At 40.2% G+C, this 27,734-nt stretch overlaps 2 protein-coding genes and 1 pseudogene across 13 annotated transcripts in view, besides 1 other annotated feature; 2 read left to right on the top strand and 1 right to left on the bottom strand.

Annotated features, from left to right (window-relative positions):
- The window catches only part of RFC1 (replication factor C subunit 1), a 78,907-nt gene extending 61,025 nt beyond the window's left edge, over positions 1-17,882 (top strand). For 6 of the 7 annotated variants that reach the window (XM_047416054.1, NM_001363495.2, NM_001363496.2 and 3 more), the window contains 11 exons: positions 410-524; positions 2,187-2,278; positions 2,464-2,601; positions 2,743-2,838; positions 2,962-3,060; positions 4,924-5,078; positions 5,200-5,317; positions 9,579-9,724; positions 13,486-13,699; positions 15,299-15,490; positions 16,494-17,882. In XM_047416054.1, the coding sequence (XP_047272010.1) occupies positions 410-524; positions 2,187-2,278; positions 2,464-2,601; positions 2,743-2,838; positions 2,962-3,060; positions 4,924-5,078; positions 5,200-5,317; positions 9,579-9,724; positions 13,486-13,699; positions 15,299-15,490; positions 16,494-16,577 (1,449 nt within the window). In that variant the 3' untranslated portion in view covers positions 16,578-17,882. Of the gene's footprint in view, positions 1-409; positions 525-2,186; positions 2,279-2,463; positions 2,602-2,742; positions 2,839-2,961; positions 3,061-4,923; positions 5,079-5,199; positions 5,318-9,578; positions 9,725-13,485; positions 13,700-15,298; positions 15,491-16,493 lie in introns of those variants that run through there. The other variant, XR_007057951.1, reaches the window with a different exon arrangement.
- RNU6-32P (RNA, U6 small nuclear 32, pseudogene) lies at positions 7,627-7,732 on the top strand (annotated as a pseudogene).
- WDR19 (WD repeat domain 19) overlaps positions 19,528-27,734 on the bottom strand; it is a 103,282-nt gene continuing 95,075 nt past the window's right edge. For all 6 annotated transcript variants that reach the window (XM_011513724.2, NM_025132.4, NM_001317924.2 and 3 more), the window contains 3 exons: positions 27,131-27,207; positions 26,675-26,799; positions 19,528-19,851 (listed from right to left, as the gene is read on the bottom strand). In XM_011513724.2, the coding sequence (XP_011512026.1) occupies positions 26,688-26,799; positions 27,131-27,207 (189 nt within the window). In that variant the 3' untranslated portion in view covers positions 19,528-19,851; positions 26,675-26,687. The remainder of the gene's footprint in view (positions 19,852-26,674; positions 26,800-27,130; positions 27,208-27,734) is intronic.
- Positions 20,836-21,081: a silencer, noted in NCBI's record as "fragment chr4:39285877-39286122 (GRCh37/hg19 assembly coordinates)". NCBI's record gives its function as "represses an EF-1alpha promoter that drives an FKBP-Casp9 reporter gene in an ReSE screen in K562 erythroleukemia cells {active_cell/tissue: K562}" and the evidence as "EXISTENCE:reporter gene assay evidence [ECO:0000049][PMID:32094911]".

The raw sequence follows: 27,734 nt of genomic DNA, 5'->3' as shown, positions 1-27,734 counted from the left end.
CAACGCACCTGGCTGGTATCTTATACTAGATTAATTCTGTGTCTGATAGTGAATTGTTGGGATGATTATGTTTAATCCTTTTTTTAGGACTTTAAGAAGTAAATTTAGTAAAATTGCTTGTTTGAATATACTCTTCCAGATTAGTGATTTGTCAGCTGAAGTTTTAAGACCAAACTTATTTGTGTTTGTATGTGTATGTTATATGTATGTATATGATATTCTAAAAATTTCTAATATTGTAAGGCATACTATAGTTAATCTCATTGTCTGTTAGTATCATACTTTATACTTTACCTATGGGTTTTTATATTAATTTTGTACCTTCTTTCTTTCTTAACTGGCCTTTCTTGGCGGGGGTGGTGGAGTTAATTTGTATTGTGCCTTCAGTGGTTTCCAATATTTTGATTAGGAGTTGGGATACAGCTACGTGGAACTGAATGCAAGTGACACCCGGAGTAAGAGCAGTTTGAAGGCGATTGTTGCTGAGTCACTGAACAATACCAGCATCAAAGGCTTTTATTCAAGTATGTGGCTTTTTGACCTCCTGTTGTTGTTATATAAGAAAAATATGTTCATTTCAATGTTCAGTAACCAGTATTGAACACAGGTTGTGTGCCAAGCACCCTACTAAATTCTGGGGCTAACAAGAGAATAAGAAAGCCGTCTGACATCACTCTTATGGGGCAGTACTTACCCTTTCGTAGGTCTTAGAGGTTTCTAAGAATGTGATAAAAATGTGTACATGCACATATTCGTTTTTCATGATTTTAGAGGATTCACAGGTGAATCCTGTAAAGAGAGAAAGAAAATAAAAAACCATGTGTAATGCAGTGTGACTTATTACCTCATTACCTTATTAACCTCACTCTGCATGTATGTAATAAAGTATGTAATACAGAGTGAGGTAATAAGGCCAGCAGATGAAGAAGTAATTATGCTTGGGGCATTGAGTTAAAGGGGTGATAATTGTTTTGAAAGACCTCAAAGAATGAGAAAGAAAACTATTTGGAGGTGGAAGAGGTCACTGCAGGCAAAGGTAGTAAAAGAGAAGACAGTGTGCAAATGCCCACTGTGTTTCAGGTTGTAGCTAGTGGTCCTCTATGGCCAGAGTTCATGGAAAATAAGATGCTCAAGTTAAGGACCGCACAGTGCCTATTTAGAGTCTATGGTGTGTTGTTTTGTCACCTGAATTCTTGGTGCCTTCACATTGTTCAAAATAATTTGCTCAGGAAATGTCACTCTTAGACGTGGCTGGTGGGAGGGTAGATTGGTACAACTCTGGAGAGAGTCCAGCAATATTTCTCAAATTACACATACCGTCTAGCCCAGAAATTCCAATTGCTGGAATTTAGCTATTATTTTATATGTGCAAAGTGGCATATATATGCCATATAGATAAGGATAGTCATTTAGTATGACATAATAGAAAAAAGCTTGGAAGCATCCTATATATTTCATTAATGGTGATTAAGTAAAGTGTGTGATACAAGTGTAGAATGGAGTATTAAATTGCCTTAAAAAATGAAGTGTTCTGTATCTGTAAGATAAAGAATGAATCACCAAAATACATAAAATGACAAAACTGGCTGGGCATGTTGGCTCACGCCTGTAATCCCAGCACTTTGGGAGGCTGAGGCGGACAGATCACCTGAGGTCAGGAGTTTGAGACCAGCCTGGTCAACATGGTGAAACACCGTCTCTACTAAAAATACAAAAATTAGCTGGGTGTGGTGGCGTGCGCCTGTAATCTCAGCTACTTGGGAGGCTGAGGCAAAAGAATTGCTTGAACCCGGGAGGCGGAGGTTGCAGTGAGCCAATATCGTGCCATTGCACTCCAGCTTGGGCAACGAGTGAAACTCTGTCTCAAAAAAAAAAAAATTCAAAACTCAGTTGTATATTTTTATGCACATATGTGTACAATATCTCTTAAAGGACATATAAGAGACTGTTGTTTGCCTCTGGGAAGGGAATTGGGGTCTGCAGGGGAAGGGGTGGCAGGGAGAGTTTCTCTTCTCTGCATATTCTTTTTTTTTTTTTTTCTTTAACAACACTCTGTAGTCCAGTGCTGCATATTCTTGTAGCTTTTGAAGTTTAATATCTGTTACATAATTTTCTACAGAGCAGCAGTTTTTGAGCAATTGTTATTTTGTTTTTGTCTCATCCCATTGCTCCTCAACCTGGGTCAGATGGAGCAGCCTCTTCAGTAAGCACGAAACATGCTCTCATCATGGATGAAGTAGATGGCATGGCAGGCAATGAGGATAGGGGAGGAATTCAGGTAATTCAAGTGCTGTATTTTTGCAGTTTCACTGTTGATAATTTAGATTGTTAGAACATTGTCATTCTCTCATACTTAGGGCAGTTAAGGCATGTTGCTGAGGAGATTTTTAGAACCTAAAATAGCTTGTGTGGTATTTGTCATTTTTAAAATAATTATTTTTGTGTTGCAAACTTGCCTTTCAGGAATTAATTGGCCTGATAAAACATACTAAAATTCCCATTATTTGTATGTGCAATGATAGAAATCATCCCAAGATTCGCTCTCTGGTTCATTATTGTTTTGATCTTCGTTTTCAAAGACCTCGGGTTGAACAGATTAAGGTATGATGATTGAAATTTTTTTTCCATCACACTAGCCTATTTATTTAAGGGTCAATTTTTAAAAGTACCTGATAAATATTTTTAAAATACCTGATTATATGAGTTAAAAATCATTGAGGACTCCTCCCTTGTCAATTTCAGGGTGCTATGATGTCTATTGCATTTAAAGAAGGTTTAAAGATTCCCCCTCCAGCTATGAATGAAATAATTTTGGGAGCCAATCAAGATATCAGACAGGTAAATTAAATATATATCATGTAACAGTTGTTGATTATTTTTAACTAATGCTTTCAACCTTGTAGGGATGGGGAGCAACAGGATTTTCCTATCTTGACGTTGTCTTATTTGTGATTCTTTTAGGTTTTACATAATCTGAGTATGTGGTGTGCACGAAGTAAAGCATTAACCTATGACCAGGCCAAAGCTGATTCTCACAGAGCCAAAAAGGATATCAAAATGGTAAAATAAATGTCCATGTCTTAGTTACTTTCCTAAGCCAAAACACTTCTTGTTCTGTAGGTAGCTTGATAGAAGTAGTTATTATAGTTCCTTGGTATGCCTGTGGAATCCAGGGATATATAGTAGGAAGTATAGACAGCTGCTGAAAGTGTTTCTAATTCAAATGATTTTTTTCTCAAAGATTGTCAATGTCAATTATAAATTTTGAGAAAGGGATAAATTTTAAATTATACTTATGCTTCAACAATTATAAAATGGCTTTTCCAGAGTTCTTTATGTTTGGCTTTCGTGTTTGGAATGGTTTTGCACTGTTCAGAATAATCCATGTCAAATGGTTTAGTTTAATGACCTCTCTGAAACTAGAGGTATGTATCAGTTTCCTCTGTGTTGTATTTTACCTAGTTGCTAATCAGAATTTATAGTTAGAGCAATGATTAAGCAGGTTCTAAAAAAGTTAATACACTTTCTTATTTATTTAAATTTTCAAAATTTTTGGTAGAGACAGGGTCTCGCTATGTTTCCCCGACTGGTCTTGAATTCCTGGCCTCAAGTGATCCTCCTGCTGTGGCCCCCAAGGTGCCGGGATTATAGGTGTGAGCCACCACGTCTGGCCTATACGCTTTATTTTTTAGAGCAGTTGAGGCTCAGGAGTTTGAGACCAGCCTGGCCAACATGGTGATCCATGCCTGGCCTATGGATTAAAAATGGAGTGGAAGGTACAGAGAGTTCTCACATACTTCATGTCCCCCTCACACGCACAGCCTCTCCCACTGCCAACATCCCCCACCACAGTGGTATATCTGTTACAATCGATGAACCTACAGTGATACCTCATTATCACCCAGAGTCCGTAGTTGACATTAGCATTCCCTCTTGGTGTTGTACGTTGTGTGGTTTTGACAAATGACATGTATTCACCATTGTAGTATCATACAGAATAGTTTCACTGTCCTGAACATCCTCTGTGCTCTACCTGTTCATTCTTCCTTTCCGCTTTCCTCCCTACAACCCCTGGCAGCCACTGATCCTTTCACTGTGTCCATAGTTTTGCCTTTTCCAGAATGTGGTATAGTTGGAATCATGTAGTATGTGGACTTTTCCAGTTGGCTTTTTTCACGTAGTAATGGCATATAAGGTTCTTCCATAACTTTTTTGTTTTTGTTTTTGTTTTTTTTGGTTTTTTTTTTTTCGGAGTCTTGCTTTGTCACCCAGGCTGGAGTACAGTGGTGTGATCTTGGCACACTGTAGCCTCTGCCTCCCGGGTTCATGTGATTCTCTTGCCTCAGGCTTCTGAGTAGCTCGGGTTACAGGCACCTGCCACCACACCTGGCCAATTTTTTATTTTTAGTAGAGACGAGGTTTTACTATGTTGGCCAGGCTGGTCTCGAACTCCTGACCTCAAGTGATCCGCCCACCTCAGCCTCCCAAAGTGCTCGGATTACAGGGGTGAGCCACCATGCCCTGCCCCCCCATGTCTTTTCATGGCTTGATAGCTCACTTCTTTTTAATGTTGAATAATATTACATTGTGTGAATGTACCACAGTTAAATTGTTTATTTACCTACTAAAAGGACATCTTGGTTGCTTACAACTTTTGGTAATTATAAATAAAACTGCTTGTAAACATCCTGTGCAGATTTTTGTGTGAACATAGTTTCATTTGGGTGAATACCAAGAAGCGTGGTTGCTGGATCGCGTGGTAAGAGTATGTTTAATTTTGTAAGAAACTACCAAACGGTACAGTTTTGCATTCCCACCAGCAATGAATGGAATTCCTCTTGTTCCATATCCTCGTTAGCATTTGGTGATGTTACCGTTTTGAATTTTGGCCATTCTAATAGGTGTGTCCCTCTCTTTTTTCAGGGCCCATTTGATGTTGCCCGGAAAGTGTTTGCAGCTGGAGAGGAGACTGCTCACATGTCACTTGTGGACAAGTCAGATCTCTTTTTTCATGATTATTCAATAGCACCCCTCTTCGTCCAGGAAAATTACATACACGTGAAGCCTGTAGCAGCAGGGTGAGTGTCCAGAGCTGGTGAGAGGTGTGCTTAGTATCCAGCACTGCGAAGGCTAAATACCCGTGAAGAAGGGACCTGGGGTGTGGAGAGTGGGATAATCCAGACTGGTTCTTTCCTGCAGGGGTGACATGAAAAAGCACCTGATGCTTTTAAGCAGAGCAGCAGACAGCATATGCGATGGTGACCTAGTGGACAGCCAGATCCGGAGTAAGCAAAACTGGAGTCTTCTGCCTGCGCAGGTGAGCAGAGGGCTCTCCCTAACATGCAGGCTCTGCTTTTACTAAGAGAACTAAATAGCTTTTAGCTGCTGTACTTATTTTATTTTATTTTGTTTACTTTATTTTTGAGATCGAGTCTCGCTCTGTTGCCCGGGCTGGAGTGTAGTGGTATGATCTCGGCTCACTGGAGCCTCTGCCTCCCGGGTTCAAGAGATTCTCCTGCCTCAGCCTCCTGAGTAGCTGGGACTACAGGTGCCCGCCACCATACCCAGCTAATCCTGTAGTTATTTTAAATACCAGATAAATGTTATGGCTCTTGTGGCAAAAATATAGTCTGTTACAGATTATAATACTCTGTGGTAACTATCGTCTGTTTCCTAATCTGGCCTTATTTTTCTTTTTTCTTTCTTTCTTTTTTTTTTTTTTTTTTTGAGACAGTGTTGCTGTGTTGCCCAGGCTGGAGTGCCGTGGCGTGATCTTGGCTCACTGCAAGCTCCGCCTCCTGGGTTCATGCCATTCTCCTGCCTCAGATTCCTGGGTAGCTGGGACTACAGGCGCCCGTCACCACGCCCAGCTAATTTTTTGTATTTTTAGTAGCGACAGGGTTTCACTGTGTTTGCCGAGACCAGCTCAGTCGGGGAGACCCTAACCCAGCGGCACTAGAGGAATTAAAGACACACACACGGAAATACAGAGGTGTGAAGTGGGAAATCAGGGGTCTCACAGCCTTCAGAGCTGAGAGCCTCGAACAGAGATTTACCCGTGTATTTATTAACAGCAAGCCAGTCATTAGCATTGTTTCTATAGATATTAAATTAACTGAAAGTATCCCTTATGGGAAATGAAGGGATGGGCCGAATTAAAGGAATAGGTTGGGCTAGTTAACTGTAGCAGGAGCATGTTCTTAAGGCACAGATCGCTCATGCTATTGTTTGTGGTTTAAGAATGCCTTTAAGCGGTTTTCTGCCCTGGGCGGGCCAGGTGTTCCTTGCCCTCATTCCCGTAAACCCACAACCTTCCAGTGTGGGCGTTAGGGCCATCATGAACATGTCACAGTGCTGCAGAGATTTTGTTTATGGCCAGATTTTGGGGGGCCTGTTCCCAACAGTGTTGGCCAGGATGGTCTTAATCTCCTGACCTCGTGATCCGCCCGCCTTGGCCTTCCAAAGTGCTGGGATTACAGGCATGAGCCACTGCGCCCGGCCCAATCTGGCCTTATTTTTCTATATTTCAAAAAATTTTTAATGTAAATGGACACATAGAAATAGGAATGTTAGATTTTGGTTGTAAGATGTGAATCAAAAGTTTCATTTGCTGTGTTTTACCTTAAGAATCCTTGTTTTTTTATTTTTGGTCATTCTTGGCTCTCCCAGGTGGTCACTGAGTAGCGGCTTCTAGAAGCAGTGCAGCTAGGGCAGGCCAGCAGCCATGTCTCTGATGCATTCATTCGGATTTTCTTCCTTGCTAAAAAGGCAGTTTTATATTGGGTACTGTATTTAGGTTGAGATCTTTAACTCGAAACAGAATTTGATAGACATTTGTAATTAAGAGAGTTATTCGTTCTTTTTGACTTTTGTATAGTTATACAGGATTATTGGCCTGAGTAATAAAATAAGTAAGACGCTTCCAGAAAGCCTAATGCTTCTCTTGATTCCACTCACACATTGCTTGAAAACAAGAAACAAAATTTCATTCTGGAGATACAGAATTTTTTTTTTTTTTTTTTTTTTTTTTGAGACAAGGTCTCACTCTGTCAGGCAGTCTGGAATGCAATGGTGTGATCATGGCTCACTGCAGCCTTGCCCTCCTGGGCTCAAGTGATCCTCCCGCCTCAGCCCTGCAAGTAGCTGGGACCATAGGTGTGCGCCATCATGCCAGCTAATTTTTGTATTCGTTGTAGAGACGGGGTTTCGCCATGTTGGCCAGGCTGGTCTTGAACTCCTGGGTGCAAGCTGTCTGCCCATCTCCCAAAGTGCTGGGGTTACTGGCATGAGCCACTGCACCTGGCCCAGAATCTTTTCTTTTACATTTTATGTGTTTTGTTTTGTTTACTTAATAATTGTAGCTTAAAGGCATAATGTTTTAACACAGGAAAAGCTTAATGTACAAAAATACTTCCTAAAGTGTTCTGATAACAAAAAGTTGGAGAAAATCTCCATGTCTAGCAGTAGGAGAATAATTATGATGAATCCTCTTGAAGAAGTATTTATAGCCTTTAAAACTATTTGCAAAGATTATCTAATATGAAAAAGTGCTTGTGAGGGAATTACTAGAGTAAAGCAGCATACAAAATTTATGTAAACTATAATTCCAGCCTTTAAGAAAGTGAAGTGCTCGCTTCGGCAGCACATATACTAAAATTGGAACGATACAGAGAAGATTAGCATGGCCCCTGTGCAAGGATGACACGCAAATTCGTGAAGCGTTCCATATTTTTATGGAACAGAACAGAGCCCTCAGAAATAACGCCGCATACCTACAACTGTCTGATCTTTGACAAACCTGAGAAAAACAAGAAATGGGGAAAGGATTCCCTATTTAATAAATGGTGCTGGGAAAACTGGCTAGCCATATGTAGAAAGCTGAAACTGGATCCCTTCCTTACACCTTATACAAAAATCAATTCAAGATGGATTAAAGATTTAAACGTTAGACCTAAAACCATAAAAACCCTAGAAGAAAACCTAGGCATTACCATTCAGGACATAGGCATGGGCAAGGACTTCATGTCCAAAACACCAAAAGCAATGGCAACAAAAGCCAAAATTGACAAATGGGATCTAATTAAACTAAAGAGCTTCTGCACAGCAAAAGAAACTACCATCAGAGTGAACAGGCAACCTACAAAATGGGAGAAAATTTTCGCAACCTACTCATCTGACAAAGGGCTAATATCCAGAATCTACAATGAACTCAACCAAATTTACAAGAAAAAAACAAACAACCCCATCAAAAAGTGGGCGAAGGACATGAACAGACACTTCTCAAAAGAAGACATTTATGCAGCCAAAAAACACATGAAAAAATGCTAATCATCACTGGCCATCAGAGAAATGCAAATCAAAACCACAATGAGATACCATCTCACACCAGTTAGAATGGCAATCATTAAAAAGTCAGGAAACGACAGGTGCTGGAGAGGATGTGGAGAAATAGGAACACTTTTACATTGTTGGTGGGACTGTAAACTAGTTCAACCATTGTGGAAGTCAGTGTGGCGATTCCTCAGGGATCTAGAACTAGAAATACCATTTGACCCAGCCATCCCATTACTGGGTATATACCCAAATGACTATAAATCATGCTGCTATAAAGACACATGCACATGTATGTTTATTGCAGCATTATTCACAATAGCAAAGACTTGGAACCAACCCAAATGTCCAACAATGATAGACTGGATTAAGAAAATGTGGCACATATATACCATGGAATACTATGCAGCCATCAAAAATGATGAGTTCATGTCCTTTGTAGGGACATGGATGAAATTGGAAATCATCATTCTCAGTAAACTATTGCAAGAACAAAAAACCAAACACCACATATTCTCACTCATAGGTGGGAATTGAACAATGAGATCACATGGACACAGGAAGGGGAATATCACACTCTGGGGACTGTGGTGGGGTGGGGGGAGGGGGGAGGGATAGCATTGGGAGATATACCTAATGCTAGATGACGAGTTAGTGGGTGCAGCGCACCAGCATGGCACATGTATACATATGTAACTAACCTGCACAATGTGCACATGTACCCTAAAACTTAAAGTATAATAAAAAAAAAAAAAAGAAAAAAAAAAAGAAAGTGAAAACCCTGGACATAGAAGACATCTAAGGTTACATTTTTAAAAAACTTTTCTCAAATGCCAGTTTAATTGACCGTAATCATTAGTCTTTCTATGCTTTAATCTACCTATGTTGTCAGTCATTTATGTTAAAGACCATCATATCCCTCTTAAGTAATTATTTGCTGTGACGTTGGCATCGGTGAGGTAACCGGTATGTTGAGATTAGTTGCTTGAGGAGGCTGAGTTGGCGACATGATCTCCCTGAGGGCCATAACATGTTGGATCAAGGTGTGTACCGCAATCTGTTGTTTTCTCTGGGAGAAGTTTCCTGTACCAGCAGATCAGAGTTATAGAAAGGGTCTGACTGCCCTGTAGGTAGGTATTTGGTACAGTGTTGCTTTATCTTCCGTAGACTGTTTGGAAGCCAATGACTATTAAGGAAGTAACTTTGTACGGAACATAAATTCTGGACTGCAATTGATTTTTTTTCAGGCCATTTATGCCAGTGTTCTTCCTGGAGAGTTGATGAGGGGGTACATGACCCAGTTTCCCACCTTCCCAAGCTGGCTGGGGAAGCACTCGTCTACAGGCAAACATGATCGTATTGTTCAGGACCTGGCCTTGCATATGAGTCTCAGGTAGGTGGGATTACTCTGTTTCGGGTATTTTATCGATTTGGTGTATTTGGCCTTTATCCAGTAATGATCATGTGAGTCAAAAGATTTGTGTTTTAGTTTTTATTTTATTGGTAACTAGATGAATGATCCTGGATAAGTTCCTTATATTTTATGGGCCTGAGTTTTATCATCTGTAATCAGTATAACACTTGTTTTGCCACTTAAAAGGATACTTTGGACAATAAAATGGTAGATGTCATAATTTAAAATTTTAAAGACTGCGTAAGTCTGAGGTGGCACTGTTACTGTTATTGTTATTATGCCTATTAGTGGGAATAGCTTCGCAGCTTCAGAATAATTAATAGGAAAATAATTGAACTATTTAAAGAAATGAACTATTTTTTACCAATTTACTCTAGTAGTAAACTGACCTAGTCATTTGGGATAGGAAATAACAGTTTAGCATGTAACAGGAGGAGGCTGCTCAGATCATTGAAAATGAATGTGCTTGGAAAAGTTTAAGGAAGTTCAAAAATACTTGCATTTGGTACAGTTTTGTTGAACTTTAGAAACTTGGAAAATGTGCATAAATATTAAGTACACTTTATGGATTCTTCTTTTTATTCTTTTTTAAGACAAGGTCACACTCTGTCACCCAGGCTGGAATGCAGTGATGCGATCTCTGCTCACTGCATCCTCCACCTCCGGGTTTAAGTGATTCTCCCACCTCAGCCTCCTGAGTAGCTGGGATTATAGGCGCACGCCACCGTGTCCGGCTAATTTTTGTATTTTTTGGTAGATATGGGGTTTCATCGTGTTGCCCAAGCTGGTCTTGAACTCCTGTCCTCAAGTAATCTGCCTGCCTTGGCCTCCCAAAGTGTTGAGATTACAGGCGTGAGCCGCCATGCCTGGCCTATGGATTCATTTTTCTTTTTTTTCTTTTCTTTTCTTTTTTTTTTTTTATTGAGACAGAGTGTCACTGCGTCGCCCAGGCTGGAGTGCAGTGGTGTGATCTTGGCTCACTGCAAGCTCCACCTCTGAGGTTCAAGCAATTCTTCTGCCTCAGCCTCTTGAGTAGTTGGGACTAAGGTGCATGCCACCACACCTGGCTAATTTTTGTATTTTTTAGTAGAGACGGTTTCACCATATTGGTCAGGCTGGTCTCGAACTCCTGACCTCAGGTGGTCCACCCTCCTTGGCCTCCGAAAGTGCTGGGATTACAGGCGTGAGCCACACGCCCGGCCCCTGGATTCATTTTTAACCATGAACTACTTGAGTGATCTTAATTTGCCATCTGGTCCCTGGAAGGAATATTAATATTTGATCCCCCATTCCACTTTTAAGTTTTGGTTAGAGCTGACCTGAGCTAGTTCCTTTTTTCTGTTCCTGTAAAATTCTATTTTATTATCTTGTTCTCTTTCTAACCTATGGCATGAGTCTTTTGTGCTACCCATGTATTAGTTTTCTGTTGCTGTTGTAAGAAATTACAACACACATAATGGCTTAAAACAACACAAATTTATCAAGATCTTAGAAGGCATCAACCCTCAGTCCTGATCTTGAGCTGGGAAGATTTTCCTGGATTATCTGTGCAGTTATCACAAGGGTCTTCATAAAGGGAGTCAGTAGTGTCAGAGTCAGAAAGGTCTGAGGATGCTACGCCAGGCCTTGAGAAGAGAGACAGGGACCATCAGCCAAGACATGCAGGTGGCCTCCAGAAGCTGGAAAGTCTGCTTTCCCCATGGCTCTTCTCATTGGCAAGGCTGCGGCTGCCTCTTGCTGTTTTCCTGCTCCTTACCTGGCGTTTTTAAAGGTCATGGGTTGCTCTGCCCTAGGGTAGCCCTCTCAGATGCTCCCGCTAGACTCCATGTAGATTTTGAGCCCTGGACTTCCGGGTTGTTTTATGGCTATTCTTCACTGTCCTCTTCCCTCATTAGACCAAACATTTTTGGGGGTGGGAACTGCGGCCTCCTCATCTAGTAGTTGGGTCATATTTAGGCCATTATTATCAGCAAAGACATTTATAGTGAATTCATAATTTTTAAAGTAAATTAAGACCTCCCTACTTTTTAACCCTGATCAAGTCACTGAACTTTTTGTAGGTCCGTTTCTCTTCTTTAAAAAATGGAAGAGTGATCTTATTGGTTTGTAACCTTTTTGGGAGTCATAGATGCTTTTGAGAATCTGAATGCTTTGATTTTTATTCCCCTGACAATGCACAGATCCACAAAGAAAACACTTTTAGGGGAATTACAGATTCCTGAGGTTAAGAACCCTTGGTTTAGGTGCACTAAATGGCATCTTTGACTTTTCTATGAGTCTATTAGAAGATGATGATACTGTAAAACATTGTAGAACAGTTTTGGAAATGGTTTCATGATTTCTGGGGGTACTGTGGCTTAGGGACTCACACTGCTTCCTTTAAGTACTAGCGTGCTTAATTATGGAAGACAATCTAGAGGAAATGGATGAAATTAAACTAGGAGAGTTTTAAAAACTCTTTGTCTAGGTAATAGTTGCGAGGGTGAGTCTAGATTTCTGATCAGGAAAAAAGCTGTGGCTTCTTATGGTTCACACATTCAGTTCCTTGAAGGCAGGAGCAGGACCCATAGACAATTTGTAAAGAATCATTTCTTTTTGCTTCTGATGCTGGTTCTGATAACAACAACTTTTGAAGTTTTACGTATACAGGCTGGGTGCGGTGGCTCACGTCTGTAATCCCACCACTTTGGGAGGCCAAGGCGGGTGGATCACCTGTTAGGAGTTTGAGACCAGCCTGGGCAAGATGGTGAAACCCTGTCTCTACTAAAAATACAAAAAAAAAAATTAGCCGGGTGTGGTGGCGGGTGCCTGTAATCCCAGCTACTTGGGAGGCTAAGTCAGGAGAACCTCCTGAACCCGGGAGGTGGAGGTTGCAGTGAGCCAAGACTGCACCACTGCACACCAGCCTGGGCAACAAGAGTGAGGCTTCGTCTTTAAATAAATAAATAAATAAATAAATAAATAAATAAATAAATAATGTATACATATAAATGCCTGGTTTGAAGATAGAGGCAGCTGGGTTGGAAAGATTTAGGATGGTGGCATTTGAAATATTGTTTTGTTCAGTTGCTTTCTGTCTTTAAGAAGTGACAACATTTAAGAGAGAAAGAAAGAGTCATTTTATGATAACATTCGAGTTCTCAGCAGACCAGAGACTGTTTCCCTAAACCTTCCTCTGGCCACTGTGGATCACTTTTTGATTTTGTGGGAACACTCTGTAATTTTCTTAGATTTGGAGAAAAGCCGGCTCTAGAACTGACGATTTCAGAGTAACAGTATTAGGAAATGTGAGGGAAGCATTCATATATGATTTTGTGTGTTATAATCAGGGACCAAAAGGTGTTATACACATTCACACACTTGAGATAGGGAATTTCATTGCCTTATACTGATGCTTTTAATATTTTGGAACTTGGAACGAGTCATATTTATGAACACAAAGAAACATTCTGTTGCCTGGGCCTTAAGAGTAGGGTGGAAGTAGAATCCACGTATGTTTTTCAGTCACTGATGTAGGTAAGTAGAAAATTTCCTTTGGGCACATTGATGTGTACCCATTACCCTCATGCTGTGGTGCTGGGCTTTCTAAACTACACCAGCTGGCTGTCAAATAGTAGGCATTCCATTCAGCATTATTGAAATTGGATTGAACTCTGCCTGATTAACTCAGTGCTGTTATGCACAGTATGACTTGAGTTGATACTTTGCTGTTGACTATGTCTCTTTTGTTGTGGTTTCAGAACTTACTCCAGCAAAAGGACTGTAAACATGGATTATCTGTCGCTTCTAAGGGATGCACTTGTACAGCCCTTGACCTCACAAGGAGTAGACGGAGTACAGGATGTTGTTGCACTTATGGACACATATTATTTGATGAAAGAAGACTTTGAGAATATCATGGAAATCAGCAGCTGGGGTGGCAAACCTAGTCCCTTTTCAAAGCTGGATCCCAAGGTAAATCATGTCACTCACTGGTTCTTCGTCACTTTCTATTACCAGGTTTGTACTGACAATACTTCGGAGGTGTTTTAGATGCTTTAAGATTTACTTCTTTTTCCCCTCAAATGCTTGTTGCTTCTTATGGCCTATATTTTCCAAAGATACTATTTGAATGCAGTATTAAGAGTAGACTTCTGGGCTTGACTTTACAATTTGTATTTTTATCTTTGCTTTATGCTCAGTGGAAAAGCAAGAAGTGAAATTTGAGGAGCAAATATAAATATATTCTTTATAAAGGATGAGTGGATGAGTCTAGGGAATTAAAAGTTGAGCGGTGAGCTCTGGTGGTAATGGGTTGTAAAAATAAAATATGTTTATTGGCTGAGGATTTGTACAAATTTTCTTTTTCTTAGTCTACCTAATCTGTGGATTCAGTATTTATTCCAGTTGGATAATCTTCTCTGTAATAATGTATCCCCACTTTTCTTATAATGAGACGAAAAAAACTAAAGTGATACATCATGAATATGTAACATCCAATACCCAACTCTTGCACCTGTGTAATGAATGCGTTTTAGAAGACATATTCTCTGTAGTTTGCCCTCCCCAGAATTTTGACCCGACTTTATGGTTATCAGTAAATTCTCACAGCAGACATCCATTGTTAGAATTCATGGACTAATTCAGGAATTATGTTTAGAAGCTTGAAGGTAAGACTTTCAAGTTACTTAGTATTTTGAAGTAACTACTCTTATTATGGAAAAGGTATCTAGTGTTTTGTGGAAATTAAAGGCCAACTTATATCTTGTGATGAGCTCCCCCAACCTTTTTTTTTTTTTTTGAGACAGTCTAGCTCTGTTGCCCAGGCTGAAGGGCAGTGGTGCGATCTCGGCTCACTGCAACCTCTGCCTCCCGGGTTCAAGCCATTCTCATGCCTCAGCCTCCCAAGTAGCTGGGATTACAGGTGCACTCCATCACGCCTGGCTAAGTTTTGTATTTTTAGTAGAAATGGGGTTTCCCTATGTTGGCCAGGCTGGTCTCAAACTCCTGGCCTCATGTGAACTGCCTGCTTTGGCCTCCCAAAGTGCTGGGATTACAGGCGTGAGCCACCACACCCAGCCGAGCCCCTTTTTGATTTACTGATTCACTGATTAACTTTGCTTACTACTTTGTAGAAATGTGGAGAATGCTGAATAGGTAAACATGATGACTTGAAGTGACCTTTTGTTTGTTTGTTTGCCTAAAGTTCCCAAATATATATATACGTATTTTTTTTTTTTTTAGACAGAATCTCACTCTGTTACCCAGCCTGGAGTGCAGTGGCGCAATCTCAGCTCACTGCAACCTCCACCTCCTGGGTTCAAGATTCTCATGGAGAAGCATGAGCCACTGTGCCCCACCTTCAGTCTTTTTTGTCATGGGCTCTATTAAGAATGTTATGAAAAATATGGAACTTATCCACAGAAAAATGCACGTACTTAGATTTACATGTATATACATAAATACTTTGCAAACAGTTGCAGGGGGCTCCCAGGGTCTCTTTAGGCTTACAGAGTTTAAAAGAATTGTTTGGGACTTAGATTTTTAAAAACTCCATCTACTCCTTTCATATAGGTGAAAGCAGCCTTCACAAGAGCTTACAATAAGGAAGCCCACCTTACTCCATACTCACTTCAAGCTATAAAGGCATCTAGACACAGCACAAGCCCATCCCTGGATTCGGAATACAATGAAGAATTAAATGAAGATGACTCTCAATCTGATGAGAAAGACCAAGATGCTATAGAAACTGATGCCATGATCAAGGTAGTATTTTAAGCCACAGACAGGAGAACCTCAAAATAGATGATCTTTCCTTGCCTGGTGAATAATAGGGCCTTTTCAGCACATAGCAGAATAACTTGAAAATACTTCTTAAGTTTTTTTGTTCATCATGGTTGAGGGTGGAGAAGGTAGAGATTTCATTTTTATAAAGTTTCTTATGGTAGTCGAAGAGCCAAACAGCAAGAAAACAGGCCATGATATTGACGGCCATATGTTCTGTTAGAAAAAGTACCATTTTTATTTATCTAGCCATTGGTGTATGCTTTCAAGAAAAATGTTTGTAACAAAACAGTTTCTTCTGTTGCTTATGTTTTGCTATAGCCACTAAACTGCTTTGTAGAAGTTTCTTAGAGCAAAACATTCTTGTCTTTTGATGGGAAATATGAAAACCAATTGTGGTATCAGCCTGCTGTGTACAGCTGGCTGAGCCAAGGAACCTCATCTGATCCTCCTCTGTCCTTCGCTGGGTGTGGGTGCTTCTTGCCCTTCATTTCTGTTTTCTGTATGCAGGAGTAGGAATAGTGGCCTTCTTCACTGTGGCTCCCATGTCGACCCTAACAGGTGGTCTTCCTCTCTCCCTCTCTTCTGCTTTCACAAAATGACTGTTTACACCTCTAATCTGAAACTGAAAGAAGAGGAAATTCTTCATCTAAACATTACCCTATTTGTCAATTACCTCTTGCTTATTTTGTCTTTCCTAAGTATACCTCTGTTCTAAATCCAAGAAACTGTCTTACATGGGGAACGGATCCTAGTTCTAAATTCTAAACTAAAAGTTTTTACTGCCAGCTTTTAAAGGCTGTAAGTGGCGCAGTTGTTGCTGTAAGCGCTTCATGGGTTGCAGTAGTTCAAGATCTCGATGTTTGCAGCCTCTCTTCTTTTTTAATTAAGTTGCAGGTAAAGATTAGATTTGTTATAGAGATGAACTTATTTCATTTACTCATAAACACAGCTATTAACTATTTTGTTATCTTCCCCCTAACAGAAAAAGACAAAATCTTCAAAGCCTTCAAAACCAGAAAAAGATAAGGAGCCCAGAAAAGGAAAAGGAAAAAGTTCGAAGAAATGAAACCATTTTTCACTAGCGACAGCCACTTTTTACTCTCCCTCCTGACCAGTCCAGCTGGTCTAGAGAAAGCCTTGTTTTTTCCCAGAGCAACCATGTTTTAGCATAATGGGATGACCTGGTGTCCCATTATAAATAAAGGGTGGTATGGCTAGAAGGGTATGAGCAGTAGGCTTATGTACACCTCTTATAGAGGTTGATAGGACTGCTTGGGTCCTCCACTGTCCTCTGTCAATCTAGTTAGACGTGCTTCTGAATGACTGTAGAATTGGAACTAGAAACTACACCTGGGCTTTGGAGTCAGATTTTAGTTAACAATAATGAGCCTGGGAGCAGTAGTACTAAGGCGTCTTTTGTAGGCTTAAGAATTTATCCTAATGGCCTTTATAGGACCAATGCTGATTTTTTTTAAAGGCAGTTCCTATTATGTGGTGAAATTTTGTAAATAAATGATTATACAAAACAGTCACCACCTAGAACTGGGTATTCTTTGTACATTGTCAGATATCTTTCAAAGTATAAATTAGGAATAAAAATGTTCCACATGATATGTGTACAAATTCTTTTTAAGATTGTCATCTTGTACAGCAAAATATTATGTTGGTATATTACTTCCTTATTAATTTGCAAATGATTGGATTAAAAAAGCTCACTGTATTCCTTACTAACCTGTTGTGTGAAACATAACATTGGCAGTCGAGGAGTCAGAACTCGGATTCCCAGCCTCACTCCCTCTGTGTGTGTTGACCACGTCTCTGCTGTGAATAGGATTTCATGCAGTGGTCTGTTATGGGGCTTTGCAGCGTGGGGGGCTGCAGAAGATTCTCAGACATTCTTATCCTTCTGGAGTCTCAACCCATCAGGTTCAGACCAGTAGGAACCAGGCTGGGTCAGGCTCTTAATTTCACTATGGTGGGGGACAAAATGAACACTGGCTTTTGTTCACTTTGCCCCTGAGAGATCTAGTCCTGTCCTGTGATGGCTTCCACAAACCCTGTTGGAAGTTTGGGTTATTCCTATAACTGTATGTGTTGAGTGGCCGTGAGGCTATGGACCTAGCCTGGAATTTAGATGTCTAGCTATTTTTTAATCTTGTTGGTAAATGCTCAGAGGTCTGTGCTACCTCTGTGAGGTATATACTAAAATGAATGTAAAATAAGGATCGTATTCCCTGCTTTAAGGAACTGGTAGTCTTGTTTGGGTGATGAGACAAAGTTCTTGAGACATTTAAACTGTATTTACCAGTGTGAAAAATGTCATTTATGGAGATTAATTCATTATGGAAATAAAACATTGCCTAAGCCCTTGCCTGCTGAGTCACGACCCTGTCTTTGTTAAAGTCCATCTTGAAATTCTTATGCTTCAGGAAAGGTTTTCTCACCAGTAGGGTGAGGCTGGCTTTCCTATTCATGTTCTTCCATTTCTATGCCTTTTGGATATGCAAGTCACGTCTCCCTAGGTCTTCTGCAGCCCCCAGGAGAGAGACTTGAATCTCCATGCAGCCAGGATGCGGCATAGTGTCCTTCACTTGTTCATTATGATTTTGTTTGTAATTTTAAATGTTTTAAACCCAAGATTGGGATAATATGTGTGTAAAATTAATAGCATTTCTTTTAGAATTAGAAATTGTAAATATGCCCTTTATGAGGATGGCATAGGTCTGATTCCTCTTTGAAGCCCTCGTGACCATGAGGTGAATGAGTGAGATTCATGGTAGGAGGCAGTTGGTGGTTCTGCAGCAGTTTGGATGTGAATCTGAATGGTCTGTATTGGGGTTGAGTCTTCATTGGAGCCACCGATGATGTGGCCTTTTGGAGCCACTTGATGGCACATGCCATCTTTGCAGCATAAAACTGTATACTTACTCTTTTCGAGATCCATTGAGTCACGGCCATTTTGTTACTTACACACCATTCAGCTTTAGCCTTCATCTTGTTAAATGTTGGCAGTTTGTAGCACCACCATGATTTGATCTCTTAAAGTTACTGATGGGGTAGATTATTTGTACTAGGATGAGTAGCTTCCTAAACAAGCTCCAGTATGAGTATGCTCATGGTGAAGGTCTAAGGCCTGTAACTCCTAAGAATTATTTGCCCACTCTCACAGTCCCAGGTGCCTGTGGTTCTTATTCCTACAGCCTTACAGTATACCTCCAGGCATATTAGAGGAAGCAGGGGACTGTGGGTAGGTTTTATGATGATAATAACTTTGTACCACTTAGTAAGGCCAAGGCCTCTGGCCTGTTCTCTGGCCGGCCACTGGGAGGGAAGGACAGGTCCTGAAGCTGGAGGCATCATGCAGTTGGGATACTTGGATGCTATACAACATTACTGGCACCTTGGGCCCTAGCTTAGGCCCCTGGGTACCACTGTAATGCTCAGGTTGCTGGGGCCATACTGTAAAATAATATCATCGGATTCATTCACAGTTGACTCCCTGACTCATTTCTGTCAGCTGCTCAGACTTTGGTGACTGGCCTTGGATGGCAAGGAAGCATATACTGATGTGGGAAAAGAAGAAGAAGTATGTACTCCCTTGGAGCAAGAGAGAGTGTGTGTGTGTGTACAGATGGTGTGTGTTGTATGTGTGATATGGGGAAAAAGAACCTTCACACAGCCTCAGAGAAGATGATTCCAAACAAACAATGTATGTTTTCAGGGGAAGTCAAATGACTTAATTTTGTGACGGGAATTCTGTAGTATGCAGTAGAATGACTCGGCAGATAGATATAAGCTGATAGTTTCATTCATTCTTTACAAGATTGGTTTTCCTAATTTTTGATGTTTTGCTTCTGGGCTGATTGATTCTGCTTAATAGCTGTGATTTGTATAAACAACAGCTTTTCATTTCAAGCTTTTTACACCATTCACATCTGTGTTCAAACTTGACAATGTCCTTCAGAACTACCTTTATCTCTTTTTCTGTCTCCAAATCCAGAAAAACGTCACAGATATCTAGTCAACAATTTTATTTTAAAGTTTTTCAAAATACAAAAGTTAGCAAAAAGCTGAATATTTACAATTATGTCATAGGTTACTATTAACAGTGCAGAGGATAGAGTGTGTAAGAAAGACTTTGAAGAGGAAATAATATACAAAGTACAATAAACAGCAAGGTTACATGTCATCGTTTTGCCACCGTACAGAAGTGGAAAGTGCCGACCTGGAGAGGTCACCGTTGTTTCATTTCTCTGTATCCAGAAAGGACCGTCTCTTAAATCCACCAGGGGAGGAAACAGCCTCCTGTGGAAAATGCTGTCTTCTCAGGAGCATTGTATCTAGAAAGGACAAACAGAACACATGCCTCTAGAAGGGTTTCAAGTAATGGCTGGCATTTAGTAATAAAGCCAAACATACTAAAAAGAATTTTTTTTTGCCTGTTTCTAGAATGTGGAACAGGAAACATTCAAGTTAGAAATCTCTAGACTGTAATCCGCATCAAGTTTCAGTATTAGCCTTGCCAACTGACTAAAATTGTGTGGGTAAGCTCTTGAGCCTTTGTAATGAAGTAAGGATGCTGATGATAACAGCCATCTCACTGGGAAGAACAAATGCAAAGTGCTCAGCAATTTGTAGAGAAAAAATTTTCCTGAAATTAAACAGTTATATTTGTCTAAACGCCAGTGAACAACAGCTTCAACCAGTATTCACTGTATAAGGATGCTTACAGTGACTTTGTGTGTGTCTTTTTTTTTTTCCTAGGAGATGATGGGGTCTTGTTACATTGCCCAGGCTGGAGTACAGTGGCTGTTCATAGGCATGATTATAGTCTCCTAGAGCCCTGAGCTCCTGGGCTCAAGTGATCCTCATGCCTCAGCCTCCTGAGTAGCTGCGACTATGGCCACAGGTTCTGCGCCTGGCTATAGTGACGTTTCTGAAGGATAGTGCATAATCATAACTCAATGAAGACATATCTGCAAGGAGCTATGATGTACCATGGTCTGGTTACTTGAAGTTTTGTATAAAGCATAATCTAATGCCATGATTGATTGATAGTGTTTGGAGAGATTCTGTGGATGTTTTTTAAAAATACAAGGTTCCACTTGCAGTTTAATTTTCCCATAGATAACAGTTATAAACTTGGGACAAAATCTGAATTTTTTTTTTTTTTTTTTTTTTAGAAAGCCAGGAATGGTGGTTCACAGCTGTAATCCCAACACTTCTTTGGGAGGCTGAGGTGGGAGGATCACTTGAGTCCAGGAGTTCAAGACCAGCCTGGGCAACATAGTGAGACCCCATGTCTAAAAAAAAGAAAAAAAAAAGCTGGGTATGGTGGCACATGCCTGTAGTCATAGCTACTTGCAAGGCTGAGGCAGGAAGATCATTTGAGCCCAGGAGTTTGAGGCTGCAGTGAACGATGATTGTGGCACTGCACCCCAGCCCAGGCAGCAGAGTGAGATCCTGTCTCAAAAAAAAAAAAAAAAAAAAAAAAATTTTTTTTACTTACTTAGAAGAAAGGTCAGTGAACTAGAATATAGATCAAAACTAATTATCCAATATGAACAGAAAAAAAAGATGACAGAGGAAAGAACTTTAGTGACCTTGACATCAAGTAGTCAAACACAGATATTACTGGAGTTCCAGAATGAGAAGACAGAAAGGGATAGAAAAAGTGATTGAAGAAATAATGTCTCAAAATGTCCCAATTGAGGGAAAAATATAAACATACAGATTCGAGAATTCTAGAAAATCCCAAGTTAAAAAAATTTAAAAACCACACCCAGGCAAGTATAGTCAAAATTCTGGAAACCAAAAATAGAGAATTCCTTGAATGTAGCCAGAAAGAAACCAGTAAATGCAGGGGAACAATGAAGTTTGATACTGGAGACAATCGTGAAAGTGCTTTAAGAAAACCTCAGAATTCCATATCAAGCGAAAATATCCTCAAAAATGAAGGAAAATAAAGACAGAGAAGAAGTCACCAGCAAACCTGCACATGTAAGAAATGTCAAAGGAAGTACTTCAGGCTGAAAGGAAATAATACCATATGGAAACTTGGATTCAGGCAAGAATAACATGGAAATTATAAATGTGGGTAAATGTAAAGCTACATTGTATTTTTTTCTTTATAATTTCCTTTAAAAAGACACAACTAAAGAAAAATTATATCATTGTATTACAGGATTTATAATGTGTACATATGTATATTTGTGTGTGTGTGTATATATATAATAGGATATTAATCAAGTACAAAATTTTGTAAAAACATAGGTAAAAAGTCAATAGAAGAATCAAATGAAATACGAAAAAATATTTAGTCAAATAGAAGGCAAGACAAGAGGAACTGAACAAAAAGTGGATAGGACAAATAAAAAACAAGTAACAAAATTGTAGACCTAAATTCAGCCTGATAATAACACTTGAAAAAAAAACACAACAGAGGAAAATTGTAGACCAGTATCCCCCATGAACACAGACACAATATTCTCAATATTAGCAAAATAATCCAGCAATAGGATAATACATCATGATCAAGTGAGTTTATCTCCAGAGTAAAAGTTGGCTTTAACATTGAAAATCAATATACCTTACCATATAAATGGATTAAAGAGAAAAAACCATATCATCTCAATTGATAGAGAAAAAGCATTTGACAAAATTTGTCACATAGTAAACTAGAAGGAAACTTCCACAATTTGTTAGGAGACCTCTCTGAAAAATCTTACATCACAATAGTGAAATACTAAATGCCTTCTTCCAACACTGAGAACAAGACAAGGATGTTGACTCTACTATTATACAACATTGCAGAGGAGGTCCTAGCCAGTGTGTATGAGAAGAAAAATAAAAGTTATAAAGATTGGAAAGATAAGTAAATTTTTTGTGTATTTGTAGATGACTTTACGCAGAAAATCTTAAGGATTCTACAGTACAACTACTAGACATAAGTCAATTTAGAAAGGTTATAGGATGCAAGGTCAATATATAAAAATTAATTGCACTTTCCTACGTAATCAATTAGAAAATGAAAAACTAAATTTCATTGAGTATTAAAATCTCCCCAAATTATTTAGAAATAAATTTAACAAAAGACACGAAAGACTTCTTTATTCAAAACTGCAAAATAGGCCGGGCACGGTGGCTCACACCTGTAATCCCAGCACTTTGGGAGGCCGAGGTGGGTGGATTACCTGAGGTCAGGAGTTCAAGACCAGCCTGGCCAACATGGTGAAACCCCATCTCTAATAAAAATACAAAAATTAGCTGGACGTGGTGGCGGGCGCCTGTAATCTCAGCTTCTTGGGGGGCTGAGGCAGGAGAATCACTTGAACCCGGGAGGCAGAGGTTGCAGCGAGCTGAGATTGCATCATTGCACTCTGGCCTGGGCGACAAGAGTGAAACTCCATCTCAAAAACAAACAAAAAACCCTGCAAAACAGTGATGAGGAATTGAAAAAGATCTAAATAAATGTAGAGATATACCATATTCATAGATTGGCAGACTGCTGTTAAAGATGTCAGTTCTCAAAATGATCTACAGAATCAATGTTAACTGTTGTGATAGGCAGAATTCTAGGATGGTCCCTAAATTTCCCACACCAGTGATACTTATCCTATGTAATACCTTCCTCTTGAGTGTGGGCAGGGCTTGTGATATGATGTGATAATAACCATATTAGATTTAATTATATGATAGAGATGAAGGAATTTTGCAGATGTAGTTAAGGTCCCAATCAATGGACTCCAAATCAAAAGAGAGTTTGTTGTGGGCTTCATCAGGTGAGCCCTTTATAATAGGGTCCAGACTTTACCTGAAGGGAGAGATTGTAAATATGAGAGATGCTCTTACACTGGACTTGAAGCAGTTTCATGTTGTGGGGAGGGTCACGTGTCAGGAAACTGCCTGTAGGAGCTAAGGGCTTCAGTCCTCTGACCATAAAGATCAGAATCCTCCCCCCGCCAAAGAAAACAAAACCTAACAAATAGACTAGAAAAAGACTTCGGATAAGATTTCAGCTCCAGTCAACACGATGATTATCGCCTTGAGAGACCCTGAGAAGACCCAGCTAAGCCATACCTAGACTACTGACCCATAACCATAGAAATTGTGAGATAATAAATGTGTGTTGTTTTAAGATGCTAAATTTGTGATAATTTGTTATACAGCAACAAAATTAATACAAGCCCCAATCATAATTTGAGCAGGTTTCTAAAACAGAATTTGAGAAACTGATTCTAAAATTGTCTACAAAGATAAAAAGAATAACAGCCAAAACAATCTTGGAAAAAAAAATAACACATTGGAGGATCCACAGTACCTGACTTTAAGAGAGTCTATAAAGCCACAGTAATGAAGATAGTGTAGTATTAAAACAAGGGAAAAACACGTCAACGGCAAAGAAGAGAGGGTCCAGAAATAGGCCCACATTTTATATCCAGTTGAGGGGAAGAAAACCCAACCCCTCCTCACACTGGAAACAAAAATCATTTCAAGATAAATTGCAGATCTAGAGCTTCTAGAAGAAAACAGAAAAATATGTTCCTGACTTGTTAGTAGGCTTTCTCTCTCTCTCTCTCTCTCTCTCTCTATATATATATATATATATATACACACACACATATATATTTAGGACAAAGAAGGCAATAACCAAAAAATTTAAAATTTAACAAATTATAATTCATCAAAATCAAAACCTCATCAAAAGATACCATTCAGAAAAAGAAATGGGAAGCCACAGAGTGTGATATTTGCAAAATATATCTGACAAAGAACTTGTATCTAGAATACATACATAAAAAACTTACATCTCAAATAGACAATAATCCAGTGTCAATGAGGAAAATTTGTCTTTTCAGCAAATTCTGCCGGGTCAGCTGGATATCTACATGCAAAAGAAGGAAGCTGCATCCCTATCTCACACCAGACACAAAAACTAAGTGGATCAAAGACCTAAATATAAGAGTAATGACTATAAAACTCCTAGAAGGAAACAGGTGTAAATCTTCATGACCTTGGAGTAGGCACTGTTTTTATTTAGAGATGGGATCTCGCTATGTTGCCCAGGCTGGTCTTGAACTCCTGGACTCAAGCAATCCTGCCTCAGCCTCCTGAGTAGCTGGGATAACAGCTGCATGCCACTGTGTCTACTTTACACAATGGTTGATTGGTTGGTTGGTTTTTTGAGCCTGTTGCCCAGGCTGGAGTACAGTGGCTTGATCACAGCTCACTTCAGCCTCAGCCTCCCAGACTCAAGTGATCCTCCTGCCTCAGCCTCCCAAGCAGCGGGGACTACAGGTGTATGCCACCATACCTGGCTAATTATTTTTTTGTAGGGACATGGTCTTACTATGTTGCCCAGGCTGGTCTCAAACTTCTGAGCTCAAGTGATCCTACCACTTTGGCCTCCCAAAGCACTGGGATTATAAGCATGCACCATTGTGCCCAGCCTGGCAATGGTTTTTGATACAATACCAAAAGCATAAGCAACCAAAGGGGGTGAAAATCAAACAGATAAATTGGACTTCATCAAAATAAAATACTTGTGCATCAAAGATGCTACCAAGGCTGAGCATGGTGGCTCATGCCTGTAGTCCCAGCACTTTGGGAGGCCAAGGTAGGAGGATTGTTTGAGCCTAGGAGTTCGAGACCAATCTGCGCAATGTGGCGAGACCCTGCCTCTATTAAAAAAAAAAAAAAAAAAAAAACAAGAAAAGGGAAAAAAACCCACAAAAAAATACTTCCAAATCATATACATGATATAGAACTTGTATCTAGAACATATAAAGAACTCTTAGAACTGAACAATAAAAAGACAAACACCCGGCTGGGTGTGGCGGCTCATGCCTGTAATCCCAGCACTTTGGGAGGCTGAGGCCGGCGAATCGCATGAAGTCAGGAGTTGGAAACCAGCCTGGCCAACATGGTGAAACCCCGTCTCCACTAAAAATACAAAAGTTAGCCGAGCGTGGTGGCACACGCCTGTAGTCCTAGCTACTCAGGGAGCCTGAGGCACGAGAATCACTAGAATCTGGGAGGCAGAGGTTGCAGTAAGCCGAGATCATGCCACTGTACTCTAGCCTGGGCAATAGAGCAAGACTGTCTCAAAAAAAAAAAAAAAAAAAAAGTAAGGCAGACAGCAGCTGTTGGCAGGGATGTGGAATGGAGAGACGAACGCTTGTGTGCTGATGGTGGGAATGTAAGAGGGTGCAACTTCTGTGGAAAACATTTTGGAGTGGCCAGGGAAGGGCAAGAAGGCCAGTGGGGCTGCAACATGGTGAGTAATCAGACCTGAGGCAGGAGGAGGAGGCTGGGCCTGTTCATGGACAGACTTGGAGGCTCTTTGTTTTTGCAGGTGCAATAAAAAGCCAAGAGAACCACGAACCAGATATACTGGAGATAGCCTGAGAGCCCTTGCTCATGGGGGCTGAGGGTGAGAGGTATCTAGATAATATGTAGGTTTCTGTCCTGTCCAACTGGTTGGCTGGAGCTGCCGCTTCCTGAGGAAGGGAAAACAGAGAGAGGTTGTGGAGGGACATCTCGACTCCTATCTAACCAGGCTAAGTGTGAGATGCTGTGTCAGAGATGAATTACTTTCACCTTTCCCTTTGGTAAAAGAATATCCTGAGTTTTGGCACGGCTTTTGGCTTCTCAATTAAAGACTACATTTCCCTGCCTTCCTCCGCAGTATGTGTGGCCACGAGTAAGTGCTTCCAATGGAATGAAGTAGAAGGAATATGTGTAGCTTCCACGTGACAAAAATGGGACTTGGAAAGAAAAAGAAATGGAGATTATTTCCAAATCTCTGGAAGCCAACATTTTTACAATATATTCTCCTGAATTATATCACAGACCCTAAAAAAAAATACTTTTATTAGCTGGCTCTAGTTTTAATGGAGTGATTAAAAAGACCCCTGTGAGATTTGACAAAATCTGGTCTAGTCAGAATCATACTGCTTGGCTAAACAACCTTTGTCATTATGGAGATGATAATACCTGCATTTTAGCATTAAAAAAAATACATCAAAAGGTGGTTGTCAGATTGTTCAAATCTGGCAAGTTCCATGGTGCACTGAAAGGAGTTGATGCTGATACACAGTGAAAAGCTGCGTGCACGCTGTGGGCCCTTGCGCCCAGAAGGTGCGTGGGCGCTCTGCCACTCACCTGCACGTGCCAATCACAGTTCCTCCTCCGTTCGCAGGTACTGGGTACAGTCTGAAATCTTTTTCAGCTGAGCAGCGTTTAATCTTTCTGAACACATAGGACATGTGCTTTCAGTGTTTAGCATGCTGTTTAGGGGAGGGAAAGGCAGAGTAAATTAAATATATAACATTCCTTTAGCTTTGGGTTACTCTAATGAGAAAGACAACAACTTTCTGTCTACACCTCTTAACACATGTCCACCATGCAATTTGAGAATCAGAACTATTCAGTCTCATGCAAGATCCTCTTTAAAGATAATATTCTCAAAGGTCACAGGAGGTTCTTCCCAGAAGACAATTTGAGTCTTTAGAGATCCTTAGGAACACAAATAGAAGAATGCTTCGGAAGAAAAGAGGTAGAATGAAAGGCCTGTGTCGGGAGAAATCAGTGAGACTGAGTGACGTGATGCACACTTACATCTTCAATTCTGAGTATAGAGCAGGGAAGTCACAATGTGGACACACCGTCCAGTCATCTTTCAACATGTGTCGACCCTGGAAACAGGATGTTTAAGAGTTAAATTCATCTTTATTTTAAAAACTCCCACTGTTAGTCAATTTTTTTTTTTTTTTTGACGGAATCTTGCCCAGTCACCCAGGCTGGAGTGCAGTGGCACATTGTTGGCTGTCTGCAACCTCCACCTCCTGGGTTCAAGCGATTCTTCTGCCTCAGACTCCTGAGCACCTGGGACTACAGGCGTGCGCCACCATGCTTGGCTAATTTTTGTGTTTTAAGTAGAGACAGCATTTCACCATGTTGGCCAGGCTGGTCTTCAACTCCTGACCTCAAATGATCCGCCTGCCTCGGCCTCCCAAAGTGCTAGGATTACAGGCATGAGCCACTGTACCCTGCCTGTTATTCAATTATAATAATTGAATTCCAGTTATAAGTCAGACCTCTAAATTATAAAATCATTGCTATTTCACATGTGTGGGTAACAGAGAGACAGCATTAAAAGGATTAAAGCTAGGTTTTACTTATCAGATTCATGTTTAAAGGAATAATATTCAGTTTTGTGATA

Source organism: Homo sapiens, chromosome 4 (assembly GCF_000001405.40).
Source record: "Homo sapiens chromosome 4, GRCh38.p14 Primary Assembly".
In the NCBI taxonomy this organism is placed as follows: Eukaryota; Metazoa; Chordata; class Mammalia; order Primates; family Hominidae; genus Homo; species Homo sapiens.
This window is presented reverse-complemented; position numbering and strand designations above follow the sequence as displayed.